Consider the following 13,442-nt stretch of genomic DNA (forward strand, 5'->3'; position numbering starts at 1 on the left):
AGCAAAAGATCCTAAAAGGAGCATCTATGTTCTACCTACTCAACATTCTAGAAACTTAGAAAGGGGAGAGGGGCAGGAAAATAAAAGAACTACATTTCTGACAACAATGAAATAGTTTATTTTCTTCAAATATTTTAAGGTACGAACGTCAGAAATAAAAATGCAGCATTTAACCCTGGAACCTCAAATATCACTGATTATACTCAAAGGAGCAGAGGCATTGTTTTCCATCTGATTCCTCAGTTCCTCACACACACAACCATCCCCCTCACCCCATGATCTGAAAAGCGAAATGAGGAATTCACCCTAAAATTAGTGTGGAGAAAACAAGCAAATTAGGTTATTTACTAAGTGACTACATAAAAAACTGAGTATGAGACCAAGAAAAATAGATTCTGTAGTTTTAGTTAAAAAAAAAATTGACTTGTAAATCCCAACTACTCGGGAGGCTGAGACACAAGAATCGCTTGAACCCAGGAGGCAGAGGTTGCAGTGAGCTGAGATTGCACCGCTGCACTCCAGCCTGGACAATACAGCCAGACTCCATCTCAAAAAAAAAAATAATTAATAAATAAATAAAATAAATATACTGAAAATATTTCACTCCACTAAGATGTTAAGCTAAAAACAAATACTGTTTTCTCTTCTTCAATGTTTGTTAACATTAGTCCTTAATAACATCTGTTTACAATATCCCTAAATGCTCTCTTTAAGATTCCACCTGTGATTAAATTTCAAATACAAAAAAGTAAAACGGATTTGGGAAACTTTTCTATAAAGTACAGCAATTAATTTGCAATCCAAAATATAAAGCAAATTTTATATAATTTATGCTTTACTATATTAGTACTTGCTTCACATTAAAATTAAAGATCAGTATGGCACCACACATGAATAACATGCAGGCTCAGGTTACCATTATACATAAATTTTTAAAATAAATATATGGCAAAAATAATAATTGTCATTCCATTGAAAGAATATTTATTTTGCAGCTGTTAAAAGACATTTTTCCCTAAAAAAAGAAAAGCTGTGCTTTACATAGCAATCTTATAAAAGAAATGCTAGAATCAGAAAACCATCATTTTAGGCTGGGTGCAGTGGCTCACACCTGTAACCCCAGCACTTTGGGAGGACGAGGCAGGTGGATCACTTGAGGTCAGGAGTTCAAGACCAGTCTGGCCAGCTCGATGAAACTCCGTCTCTACTAAAAATATAAAAATTAGCAGAGCACAGTGGCACCTGCCTGTAATCCCAGCTACTCAGGAGGGTGAAGCATGAGAACTGCTTGAACCTGGGAGGCGGAGGTTGCAGTGAGCCGAGATTGTGCCACTGCCCTCCAGCTTGGACAATAGAGCAAGATTTCGTCTCAAAAAAAAAGAGAAAAAGAAAACCATTATTTTGCAATAGCCAATGTTATAATCTACACAGGCACAGACTATCAATGCTAAAAATCATTTAAAAGACATCTTAGGGGTAATTACAGAAATTTGAATATAGAACACATATGTAATAAAATTCATTTTCTTAGGTATGATTACAATATTCTTGTTATACAGAAGAAAAACCTTATTCTTGGGAGATGCAAACTAAAACATTATGGGTTGAACTGTCATCATGTGTATGGTTTTCAGATGCTCAACAAAAGTGTGTGAGAAAATAAAACTGGCAAAATATTAGTAACTGGTAAATCTAGGTGAAGCATATTATTATGAAATTATTATCGTATTTACAGGTATTTATTTTACTGGTGCATCTATCTTTCTATGAATGTGAGAATTTTCACAAGAGCTGGGAAAATGTTCATAATTATGCATGCAGAATAAGCCCAAGCTGGTGGCATTCTGTTCAGTTACAGGTAATTTTCTGAATCTTCCCTCAAATTTTTCTCAAACCTCTATAATCAAGGGGAAAAATGTTTTGTTTTGCTTTGCTTTTTTGAGATAGGGTTGCCTATAATGGAGTGCAGTAGCTTGACCATAGCTCACTGTAGCTTCAACCTCCCAGGCACAAGCGATCCTCCTGCCTCAGCCTTCAAGTAGCTGGGACTACAGGTGCATACCACCATGCCTGACTTATTTTTTTTCCTTTTTTTTTTTTTTTTTTTTTTTTGATAGAAACAGGGTTTCACCTTGTTGCCCAGGCTGGTCTCAAACTCCTGGACTCAGGCGATTCACCAGCCTCAGCCTCCCACAGTGCTGGGGTTACAGGAGTGAGCCACCATGCCCAGTTAAAAATACACTTTTTATTTAAAAAAAAAAGAGAACACTCCTTATATTTCCTTTATATTTTGTAAACTACATACCCAAAATAAAGCATATCAAAAACTGTAAAAAAAAAAAAAAAAAACCCTAATATCAGATATTCCAGACACAACAATACCATAATTTAATCACTTAAAATCTTACTCAAAACTAAATCAATGATCTTTTAGGCCAGGTGTGGTGGCTCATGATAGTAATCACAGTACTTTGGGAGGCCAAGGCAGGAGGATCACTTGAGGTCAGGAGTTCAAGACCAGCATGGCCAACACAATGAAAATCCATCTCTACTAAAAATACAAAAATTAGCCAGGCTAATGGCACACTCCTGTAATACCAGCTACTTAGGAGGCTGAGGCAGGAGAATCGCTTGAACCTGGGAGGCAGAGGTTGCAGTGAGCCGAGATCATGCCACTGCACTCCAGGCTGGACAACAGAGCAAGACTCCGCATCAAAAAAAAAAAAAAGATATTTTAATATATTCAGATACACAAATATGAAATAAAACTAAGTAGAGCTGGTATTCATTTACACATAATTATCTTATACCGTTTGGAATAAGAATTTGGGGCACGTTAGCAAACCAAAAGGCTCAGAAAGACGTCGTGATATTTAGTTCTTGTCTCCCTCTACAAATGTGAAGCACTCTTCTATCCGGCATTCCTAGTGGAGTTCCTATTTTCAAATTTGCAAATCATTCTGGTGCTAAGCAATCTCAAAAAAAACATTTACTAAAAACCAGAGGAAAAAAATCTTATAACTTTGGGAGGCTGAGGCAGATGGATCACTGAGATCAGGAGTTTGAGACCAGCTTGGCCAACATGATGAAACCCCATCTTCTCTAAAAATACAAAAAGTTAGCTGGGTGTGGTGGCAGGTGCCTGTAGTCCCAGCTATTCCAGAGGCTGAGGCAGGAGAATCACTTGAACCTCTGAGGCGGAGGTTGCAGTGAGCTGAGATCGCGCCATTGCACTCCAGCCTGGGCAACAGAGTGAGACTCTGTCTCAAAAAATAAATATAAAAAAATAAAAAGCTGCTATTCTCCATTAATACCTGCAGGCCCGACAAAGGCAGCCTAGGAATTCTAGATGAATGGAATGAATACAACTTGCTGGAAGTTCTTAGGAAACAAAATGACTATTCACAGAACCAAATAAAAGCCTTCCACTAGAAACTAAAAATAATAATAATAATAATAATGGTTTTATATATATGCATACACAAGCAAAGCCAGAAGAGAATAAATAGCAAATGAATGAAAACTAGAAGCAAAAACAAACAGGAAACCATCTCTACATTTTTTTTACTCAATCGACCCTGAATGCTACAGCATTATCCAGGGCCGCAGAAAACACACATAATACTTTATTCCTGATAAACAATTCGATGTCCTTAAGTCCGCCAATATCACCGTACATTCTGTGCAATCAAGAAATTTACTCAGCTGGGCACAGTGGCTCACACCTGTAATTCCAGCACTTTGGGAGGCCAAGGCGGGTGGATCACCTGAGGTCAGGCATTCGAGAACAGCCTGGCCCACATGGCGAAACCCCATCTCTACTAAAAATACAAAAATTAGCCCGGTATGGAGGCATGTGCCTGTAATCCCAGCTACTTGGGAGGCTGAGGCAGGAGAATGGATTGAACCCAGGAGGCAGAGGTTGCAGTGAGCCAAGATTGCACCATTGCACTCCAGCCTGGGCAACAGAACAAGACTCCATCAAAAAAAAAAAAAAAAAAAAAAGAAAGAAAGAAGAAAAGAAAATTAGCCAGGTGTGGTTGCATGCACCTGTAGTCCCAGCACTTTGGGAGGCCAAGGCAGGAGGATCAATCAAGGCTAGGAGTTTGAGACTGCAGAAAGAAACCCTGTCTCTAAAAAAAAGGTCCAGGTAATTTCAGGGTCCAGCTCCACCACAAGCGCAGCTCCAGGGGCTGTTGAGTTTTGCCTTTATCATTCCAAGTAGTCCCTGCTCCAGACCAAGTCCCACCATCTGGCAGTCAGGTCAGTCCAACCACAGTCATATCAGGGCCCTTCCAGGAATTCTCGACGCAAACTGGAGGCCGATGGCGCGGGTCTTTTCGTGGACGGCGGCAGCACGGTCCTCGGCTTGCGTCCGTAGTTGCTCAGGCTTCTGGTTCAGGGCTGGGCGGCGGCGCCCCTGCGGCGGGCGGCCCGCACCAGGCTCTGCTGCAGCACGGGGTAGAGGCGCTGGCAGCCCTCGAGGCCCAGGCGTACGGCCTCCGCCCAGCTCTCTGTCAGGCCGCCCTCGCCGCTGCCCAGCAGCCCGGCCACCTGATTCAGCACAGGCATGAGCGCCACGGTGAGGCCGGCGGCGGCGCGCTCTTCCTCGAGCCGCGTGGGGTCCAGGAGCCAGGTGGGCGCGGGCCCCGGCGCGAGGCTGAGGCCGCAGCCCACCACCAGGTCGTACATCTCCACGCCCGCGTCGGCCAGGGCGAGCGCGGCGGCGGTGAGCGCGGCGGCCAGGGCCGAGCCACCGTCCTCCAGCAGCAGCGCCGACACCTCGAGCTGCGCGCGCGGGTAGCGGCCCAGGCGCACAGCCGGCTCCAGCGCCTCCTGCAGCGCCAGCGCCAGCTCACGCTCCTCGCAGCCGCCCGGGGGAGCGCGGCGCCGGCGGCCCGCGAAGGGTGCGCGGCGGAAGTCGCAGAGCAGGCGACCGCGCAGCGCGGCCGGGGCCTCGCCGCCTGCTCCGGCCGGGCCGCCGCCGCGCTCGCCGCCCTCGGCCTGTCGCGGGCCCGACACGGCACACAGCACCTTGGTGCCTCCCGCCTCCAGGTAGGCCGAGCCCTTGGCCTGGCTCAGCAGCCCGGCGCGCGCGTACACGGGCCGTAGCCGCGTTGGGTCGCGGGTGCCGGGCGCCTCCTCCTCGTCGGCCGCGTACAGCTGCGGCGGCTGCGATTCTTCAGGGCCGCGGATGCGGCGGTGATCCCCAGGCATGGCGGTTCTTGGCGTGCGAACCCCTTCCGCCCAACGCCCTGCCGCATCCACTGGTTCTTCCGTTGTTTAAAGACGCGCGGCTGCGCATGGGCTGTCGAGAGAGCGGCGGGAGGCACTACAGCGCCCCTGGAGGCCCGGAGGGAGAACGGCCCGGTCCCAGTTGTGCAGGGTAGCCGGATCCATCCATCTTGCTGGAAGGGAGGGGGGAGAGCAGCTCCAAGAAAGGCTTCTCTGCTTCCAACTACCTCCACCCCTCATCTACTGAATTATGAACGCCTTGCTCCAAGTCACCCCACCTATTTGGCCTCCACCTCCACAGACGTTTGAGGCAGCCCTAGGGGCTGTTCCCAAAATTTTGGGTTCTGGGGCTGGACTAGGTGAACACCACAGCAGCCAGCAGGAGCCACAGCATTTATTCTACAGACGCCAAAGGCTGTCAAAAGAGCCAGCCCCTATTGGGAAGAGGGATAGAGATCATGCGGCATTAAGTATTGCACGTGGTCCTTTTATTCTCTGCAGCAAAAACGATTCCTACTTGCTGACGCGGAAAGCTCAGGTCTGGAGAGCCGTTATCTATAGATGCGAGCGTGACGATCAACAGCAATGCGGGGTTAGTGGTTCTAGACCGATGGCACTGACGTGGAGGGCTCAGGGCAGAAATTTAAGGGGCACTGAGACATAGGACTGCTCCCAAGTGTGTTCCAGTTACTGCTGGGTTAGGAGGGGCTCTTTAAAGGTCCCAAGATTCAAATGTTCTTGTAGCAGATGAAGAGCTCTTGGCTGGACGGATGGATCCAGTGGGAGCCTCCTCCTTCCCCACTCAGTTCTTTACATCCCCGAGGCGCAGCTGGGCGAAGGAAGTGGCCAGCTGCAGCGCCTCCTGCAGGCAGCCAACGTTCTTGCCTGTGGCCTGTGCAGACACATCCTTGCCACCACCTTTACCGTCCATCAAGCCTGACACCTGCTGCACCCACTCGCTGGCTTTTAAGCCCCGATTGGCTGCATTCTAGAAGACAGGAAGGGAAGGGGGAGTCAGCACAGAAGATGGGATTGAGGGAGGAATGCAGGGAAAGAAAGGATGGAGGAGCCATCACCCACTCCTTGCCCTGGGTGATACTGCTGGAGGCCGAGACAGACTTTACGGCTGGTACAGGGGGCGGCCATGGCCACTGCCAGGACAGGACAGAGTGGCAAAGCCAGGTATCAACCAGATGTCTTCACCAATAAGAAGGCCTGGGTAAGGGGTACTGGCAAAGGTAACCAACCGGTGGGCAGAAAGGCTGTTTCGAATGCAGGCTGTACACACACAGGCCTCAGCCAACAACCTTAAGACCTAACACTTCCCACTGGTGCGAGGTGGTGCTGACCTGGGGAACTTGACACAGGCACGTGATCTTGCCAGCCTCATTGTCCACCGTGAAGAGCATGGCAGAAGTCTGAGGGGAGTGCATCTTGAAGAGCTTCAAGGCTTCATTCAGGGCCTGTGGGGAGGACCTGGCTCAGGCCACGGTGCTGGAGCAGGGACCCTCACTAGTGTGAGCATTTGCAGCCCTCAGAAGGCCTGCCACCCACCCCTACCCCTTCCCAGAGCAGGGGCTGTGCCCAGGGCCTGTGGGGAGGACCCCAGCGCCGGGCCCTGCCCCTACCCTGGCCCAGGTATGCCTCCCACATGCAGGGAGCTGCTGCTCCTCCCAATCTCAATCCCAGACCGTGGGCCCTTAGGCAACCACTTCGCTCAGAGCCACAGAGGCCACATGTCAGCCACCAGAGAGCTGATGAGCCCTAGGGGAGGGGACCCTGGCCCCTGGGTTGCCTTGGCTGAGGCGCCGCTCTCCATCTCCAGGATGACAAGAGGCTGGTTGGGGTTGCTGTCGATGAACTGCTTCGTCTTCTCTAACACCTGCAAGAAAAAAGTCCAGAACAGCAGCTCAGACCAAAAGCCCAGGCCCCGAACCCCTGGCTGTTCTGCCAGCCTTTGCCTAGGAAACACTCTGGCCACTGGTGCTGCCAGGACTCACTCGTTTCTGGACATCGGCTTTGCTGGCTCGGTCCAAGTCATCCATGACCTTCTTTAGGGATTTGAGAGTCTCCCGCAATTCATCCTTCTGCCACTGGGGGATGACTGCAGTGGCCAGGGCCTGGAACCAATAGACGACCATCTCAATCTGGGCCACAACTTGCTGGGATGTCAGGGTCCAGCCCACCCCACCCGAACCCAAGTCCTCCCTGACTAGTGTCCTGGAAAGGAAAGCAAGGAAAGCTTTGAGACCAGTCCCTTTAGGAGCAGCTGTGGCAGGTGAAACAAGCAGGGCTAGAGAGAAAGGAGCAGCAGAAAGCTGGGCTCCCAAATCAGGCCCGGTCCTTACCAGGCTGGGAACAGCCTGTGATAAGCTTCCTGGCAGCTTGAAATGCAAATAAATACCAGGCAGGCTTGGAAGCAGGGGCCAGCCTTAGCCCATTCCCCAAATCCCTCCACCCCAGTGCCCATACATGCTTGGGAAGAGCTCTCCTGCTAGCAGCACTGGGAGCAGCAGGGAATGTCCAGGGTCCAAGGACAGGATCCATGGGGTCCCTGCTACAAGGCTACAGGACAACAGAAGTCAGCCCAAAGGCCCATTCCACCAAGAACCAGGGCCTGACTGACTACAGATGATTTCCTGAAGACGGGGCATGTTTCATGCACCAGGCCCTGAGGACGGAGGGAGGGAAGCCGCCCCTACCTCTCCAAGGTCAGCGATCTCCCTCTGCACATCCTTGTTTGGAGCAGTCTGAGCCTTCACTTTGGCTTCCATGACAGAGAGACATTTCTTCAAGCTCTCTGCTTTCCTGAGGGCCTGGGAGGGGACACCGGGTCAACCCCAAGCAGGAGGTCTGAGTCAGACTCACTATCCTGTGTCTGAGCAGCTGCGGAAGCCCCGGCGGTAGGCCTTGCAGCAACATACCCCAACACCCCAAAAGTGTCTGTGGGGAGTAGGTGCTGGCAGCCCCAGGCCCCAGCAAGGAGCACAGTGCTCACAGGCCCATTGGCAAAGGCTGCACCCAACTCAGACTCAGGGGTGATCAAGCTCGAGAATCAGGAGCCCCTTCCCCCAGGAAGTGGCCACCCCTGGGGCTTTAGCACAAGTCAGACACACCAGTTCCCATGAAAGAGCACCCATCCTCTACTGCACGGCCTCAGACTAAGCACGCCCCTAGGAGTACATGGATCAGCGCTGGGGGCCCCGATGCCACAGCGAATCTATGTCTTACCCTCCTCCACATGGAGACAGGAGGGGGTAGATGGCCAGATTCACATTTTTTTTTTTTTTTTTTTTTTGGAGACGGAGTCTCGCCCCGTCACCCAAGCTGGAACGCAGTGGTGCGATCTCGGCTCACTGCAACCTCTGCCTCCCAGGTTCAAGTGATTCTCCTGCCCCAGCCTCCCAAGTAGCTGGGATTACAGACGCGCGCCACTACACCCAGCTAATTTTTGTATTTTTAGTAGAGACAGGGTTTCAGTATGTTGGTCAGGCTGGTCTCGAACTCTTGACCTAGTGATCCACCCGCCTCGGCCTCCCAAAGTGCTGGGATTACAGGCGTGAGCCACTGCGTCCGGCCTGATTCACATATATTTTAAAAGACTAAACATAGGAAAGCTAGGAGATCTTGTGTGGTGGCAGGTTTCTTCTGCCACTCAGGGGTAGGACACTGGGGCAGGGGGAGTGGCCCAGCCTGTACTTTCACTCTGACTGCAGCAGCCACGCAGAGCAGTGTTTGCTCTATGGATTCGCAGACTGGGCTCCTCTTGCCTTCTTCAGATAAGCCACAAACCAGCCTGACCTGCTCACCTTCTGGGCCTCGGCACCTGTGACAGCCACAATCCTCCGGATACCCTTGGCAATGGCTTCTTCCGTCACGATCACAAAAGCTCCTGCATGACTCGAGTTCCGCAGGTGCCTGAATGGCAGAACACAAAGTCCATAGTGAAAGAGGCCCTGGCAGCCCTTGGCTGGGGGGTCACACTAGCGGACAAGAGAAGCAGGAATGGGTTGACAGTCAGGGAAAGCCTGGGCTTGAGAGTATTCTGACACCAAGCGGGACACCAGCTCGCTGAGCCTGAGTGTTCTCAGTTCTCAAATGGGGATGATTCTCCCCACACAGTTGCTGTGAAAATCAAATGAGGTAAACATGAAAGTGCTTTGTGGTCCCTAATATCCAATACAGTCTTACCCTTAGGCTCTACGTGACAGTTTTGGTCTTGTAGTGGAACTTAAGCTCCATTTTTGTATTCTGCTCACTAGGTGACAATTTTGGAGGATTACTTTTAAAATCTTACCACAACCCCTTAAACAGGCTTTATTTCTCAGTTCAGAGAACCTCAAATGTTCATTAATTCATCCTCATTCTTTGAAGATAGTATAGTTTTTTTTGTTTGTTTGTTTTGAGACAGAGTCCTGTTCTGTTGTTCAGGCTGGAGTGCAATGGTGTGATCTTGGCTCACCACAACCTCTGCCTCCCAGTTTCAAATGATTCTCTTGCCTCAGCCACCCAAGTAGCTTGGATACAGGTGCCCGCCACCACTCCTAATTTTTGTATTTTTAGTACAGACAGGTTTTCACCATGTTGCACAGGCTGGTCTTGAACTCCTGACCTCAAGTGATCTGCCTGCCTCAGCCTCCCTAAGTGCTGGGATTAAAGGCATGAGGCAACATACCCAACCCTTGGTATAAAGTTTTTGAAAGCTGTTTCCTGTAGTCTAAAGGGTATGAGCAAACAGGTAATCAGGCAAAGTGGGACTCGTTTGAAGGCCCAATTCAGCTGGGCAGAAAAGCCTTGAACTCAATCCCCCAGGCCCCTATCCTACTCTCTGCACATCCTACTTGCTCCCTGCCTGCCAGAGGCCTGCAGGAGACCCTGGAGGGTCTCAACCATGACATTAAGAATGTTCTTTTCAGCCGGGCGTGGTGGCTCACACCTGTAATCTCAGCACTTTGGGAGGCTGAGGCGGGTGGGTCACCTGAGATCAGGAGTTCAAGACCAGCCTGACCAACGTGGAGAAACCCCCTCTCTACTAAAAATACAAAATTAGGCCAGGCACGGTGGCTCACACCTGTAATCCCAGCACTTTGGGAGGCTGAGGTGGGTGGCTCACGAGGTCAGAAGATGGAGACCATCCTGGCTAACAGGGTGAAACCCCATCTCTACTAAAAATACAAAAAATTAGCTGGGCGTGGTGGTGTGTGCCTGTAGTCCCAGCTACTCAGGAGGCTGAGGCAGGAGACTCGCTTGAACCCTGGAGGTGGAGGTTGCAGTTAGCCAAGATTGCGCCATTGCACTCCAGCCTGGGCAATGAAACTCCGTCTCAAAAAAAAAAAAAGAATGTTCTCTTCATGGCTGGGCATGGGGGCACATGCCTATAGTCCCAGCTACTTGGGAGGCTGAGGCATGAGAATCGAAGCCAGGAGGTAGAGGTTGCAATGAGCCGAGACTGTGCCACTACACTCCACCCTGCGGGACAGAGCAAGACTCCACTTCAAAAAAACAAACAAAAAAAACCACAATTCTTTTCACAAGGCTTCATTTGGAAGCAGAAACTTTCCAGGCCACCATGACCTTCCCAAAAAGGCCCAGAGAGATACAGAGGAATCCAAATTGGCAGAAGTGGCTATCCCAAGCCAAACTGAGCTGAGTCAACCACGTGGCCTGCTCGGGGGCTCTGAGACAATGGAGCTACATTCCCCAGATGCCGCCCAAGCTGTCAAAGGAAATTAGGTGAGATACCAGGAATGGGAAGGGCTAGGCCCACATCAAGAGCTCAACAAGCACTCCAGGCCTTGCTGAATCCCAAATTCACACAAGCCTTCTTGCTAGTTTCAGCCCAGCAAACAACAGCAAGCAACTGTGTGGTAATGTGAATACAATGTTTTCCCCCTTTTCCTCCTGGGAATGTTTCGTCAGGAAATGTTACCTTCAGATACAGGGATCTAATGAGCATGCTAGGATGCTGAGATTCTTGGGAACGCTATTTAGCAACGGCATTTCTGAGGACTTCACTTCAACCTTAGACAGACAAGAGTTGGTCCAGCCTAAGACCTACATCCTCAGAGGATGAAGGTAGATGACCTGTCTACTCTGCCCCTCTGCAGTACTCACGTTCCCCCACAGAACTCAACAGAAGTCAGGGAGCCAGCAGGCCCAGAGGGGTCATCCAGCAACTCGGACACCGGGACCCCAATGGAGACGACTCGCACAGGGTCAGGATAGGTCTCATCAAACACAGCCCGTAGGCCCTGGATGGCTTTCGCTGCTGCCAGGGGGCAATCCTGGGTATAGACGGCCTGCCAGACCAAGAAGACAGAAAAGAGCTGGAAGAGATCCCTGGAGGTGCGGTACGACGAGGCAGGAAAGCATGGTCCTGCAGGCAGGACTCGGGTTCCAACCTGGCTTGGCCTAGCACGTGCCATGAGCTTCCTCAATCACACGCCACGTGCAAAGTCAAGGGCATCAGTATGGGAATTTCCAACTATTTTGTTAAACTGTGGACCAAATCTCATATGTGAACAGACTTAACTAGAACAGCTCTGGTTCTCCCAAGGTGGGGTGGGACAAATGCCTCTCCCTCTCCCCTCCACCAACCACCACCACTGCCCCCGGCAAAAGCACAGATGGAGAATCACTGCTTTAAACAAACTTTTTTTTTTTTTGAGACGGAGTCTCGCTCTGTTTCCCAGGCTAGAGTGCAATGGCGCAATCTCGGCTCACTGCAAGCTCCACCTCCCGGGTTCACACCATTCTCCTGCCTCAGCCTCCTGAGTAGCTGGGACTACAGGTGCCCGCCACCACGCCCGGCTAATTTTTTCTATTTTTAGTAGAGACAGGGTTAGCCAGGATGGTCTCAATCTCCTGACCTCGTGATCCGCCCGCCTCGGCCTCCCAAAGTGCTGGGATTACAGGCGTGAGCTACCGTGCCCAGCCTGCTTTAAGCAAATCTACGTGCAGGACGAATCTGATACAACAGAGTGAGAGCACCGCACTGCTAAGACTGTGGACAGACAGTGACGGTGTGGGGAGGGGGGGCATTCAGCCGTCGCCCATCCTACCTTGGCTGCCTCAATCATCTCATTAGCAATCTCTTCAGCCTTCTTGATCTGTTGGGTGGACATGGCTCCCTTGGCAGTAAAGTCAAATCTGAGGCGGTCAGGAGCAACCAATGAGCCTTTCTGGTCAGCTTCCCCAAGCACTGAGCGCAGGGCGAAGTTCAGAATGTGCGTAGCTGTGTGGTTGCTCATGATGGGTCTTCGTCGGGGCTGGAAAGGGCAGAGGGGCTCATGGAGAGGTCTGTAATAGACTGCTAGTTATCTCCTCGTTATCTGCTCCCCCGAGTGCTACAATTTTTAGTTGGAAATATGGCTGTGCAGAATAAAGGTTACATTTCCCAGCTTCCCTATGGCTAAGTGTGTCCATGTGACTAAGTTCGGGTCAAAAGGTTTTGAACAGAAGTGATGTCTACCATTAAAGGGATGGGGCAGGTCCTCCCATTTCTTTTCCACCGCCTAGAACAGGAATTGCCAAATGACGGCCGATGGCTAAATCTAGCCTGTCATCTGTCTTTTCATTTTTAGAGACAGGGTCTTGCTCTGTCACCCAGGATAGAGTACAGCGGCGCGATTGTAGCTCAGTGCCACCTCAAACTCCTGGGCTCAAGTGATCCTCTTGCCTCAGCCTCCCAAGTAGCTGGGACTACAGGCACACACCACTACCCCCAACTAATATTTTTTATTTTTTTGTAGAGATGGGGTCTCATGTTGTTGCCCAGGCTGGGTCTCAAACTCTTGGCCTCAAGCAATCCTCCCACCTCAGCCTCCCCAAATGTATGTGTTTATAAATTTTTATAAACAGTTTTTTTTTTTTATAAGGAGTTTCGCTCTTGTTGCCCAGTCTGGAGTGCTATGGCATGATCTCGGCTCACTGCAGCCTCCATCTCCCGAGTTCAAGCGATTCTCCTGCCTCAGCCTCCTGAGTAGCTGGGATTACAGGCATGCACCACCACACCCGGCTAATTTTGTATTTTTAGTAGAGACAGGGTTTCTCCATGTTGGTCAGGCTGGTCTCGAACTCCCGACCTCAGGTGATCTGCTCGCCTCGGCCTCCCAAAGTGCCGGGATTACAGGCATGAGCCACTGTGCCCAGCCATAAACAGGTTTATTGGAACACAGCCACACCTGTTCATTTACATATGGTCAATG

General features: G+C 50.4%; 2 protein-coding genes across 3 annotated transcripts in view, besides 5 other annotated features; both read right to left on the reverse strand.

The window, feature by feature from the left end:
• Window positions 1-94: 94 nt before the first annotated feature.
• Window positions 95-5,257, reverse strand: EXOSC6 (exosome component 6). The gene has a single exon (NM_058219.3). It carries the CDS (start codon window positions 5,215-5,217, stop codon window positions 4,399-4,401), a length of 819 nt encoding a protein of 272 aa, NP_478126.1. The 5' UTR covers window positions 5,218-5,257; the 3' UTR covers window positions 95-4,398.
• Window positions 4,464-4,783: a silencer, noted in NCBI's record as "silent region_7669". NCBI's record gives its function as "represses an Ori minimal core promoter by ATAC-STARR-seq in GM12878 lymphoblastoid cells {active_cell/tissue: GM12878}" and the evidence as "EXISTENCE:reporter gene assay evidence [ECO:0000049][PMID:35858748]".
• Window positions 4,914-5,003: a silencer, noted in NCBI's record as "silent region_7670". NCBI's record gives its function as "represses an Ori minimal core promoter by ATAC-STARR-seq in GM12878 lymphoblastoid cells {active_cell/tissue: GM12878}" and the evidence as "EXISTENCE:reporter gene assay evidence [ECO:0000049][PMID:35858748]".
• Window positions 5,384-5,433: an enhancer, noted in NCBI's record as "active region_11050". NCBI's record gives its function as "activates an Ori minimal core promoter by ATAC-STARR-seq in GM12878 lymphoblastoid cells {active_cell/tissue: GM12878}" and the evidence as "EXISTENCE:reporter gene assay evidence [ECO:0000049][PMID:35858748]".
• Window positions 5,474-5,663: an enhancer, noted in NCBI's record as "active region_11051". NCBI's record gives its function as "activates an Ori minimal core promoter by ATAC-STARR-seq in GM12878 lymphoblastoid cells {active_cell/tissue: GM12878}" and the evidence as "EXISTENCE:reporter gene assay evidence [ECO:0000049][PMID:35858748]".
• AARS1 (alanyl-tRNA synthetase 1) overlaps window positions 5,615-13,442 on the reverse strand; it is a 37,209-nt gene continuing 29,381 nt past the window's right edge. Inside the window, exons 14-21 of one of the 2 annotated variants that reach the window (NM_001605.3) lie at window positions 12,297-12,503; window positions 11,350-11,534; window positions 9,045-9,153; window positions 7,938-8,051; window positions 7,236-7,355; window positions 7,031-7,117; window positions 6,585-6,698; window positions 5,615-6,223 (exon numbers count right to left, since the gene is read on the reverse strand). In NM_001605.3, coding sequence (NP_001596.2) covers window positions 6,038-6,223; window positions 6,585-6,698; window positions 7,031-7,117; window positions 7,236-7,355; window positions 7,938-8,051; window positions 9,045-9,153; window positions 11,350-11,534; window positions 12,297-12,503 — 1,122 coding nt within the window. In that variant the 3' untranslated portion in view covers window positions 5,615-6,037. Of the gene's footprint in view, window positions 6,224-6,584; window positions 6,699-7,030; window positions 7,118-7,235; window positions 7,356-7,937; window positions 8,052-9,044; window positions 9,154-11,349; window positions 11,535-12,296; window positions 12,504-13,442 lie in introns of those variants that run through there. The other variant, XM_047433666.1, reaches the window with a different exon arrangement.
• Window positions 6,298-6,798: an enhancer, noted in NCBI's record as "H3K4me1 hESC enhancer chr16:70286884-70287384 (GRCh37/hg19 assembly coordinates)". NCBI's record gives its function as "activates a minimal SCP1, AML or CMV promoter by ChIP-STARR-seq in primed H9 embryonic stem cells {active_cell/tissue: H9 hESC(primed)}" and the evidence as "EXISTENCE:reporter gene assay evidence [ECO:0000049][PMID:30033119]".

The sequence above is a fragment of the Homo sapiens genome, chromosome 16, assembly GCF_000001405.40.
Source record: "Homo sapiens chromosome 16, GRCh38.p14 Primary Assembly".
In the NCBI taxonomy this organism is placed as follows: Eukaryota; Metazoa; Chordata; class Mammalia; order Primates; family Hominidae; genus Homo; species Homo sapiens.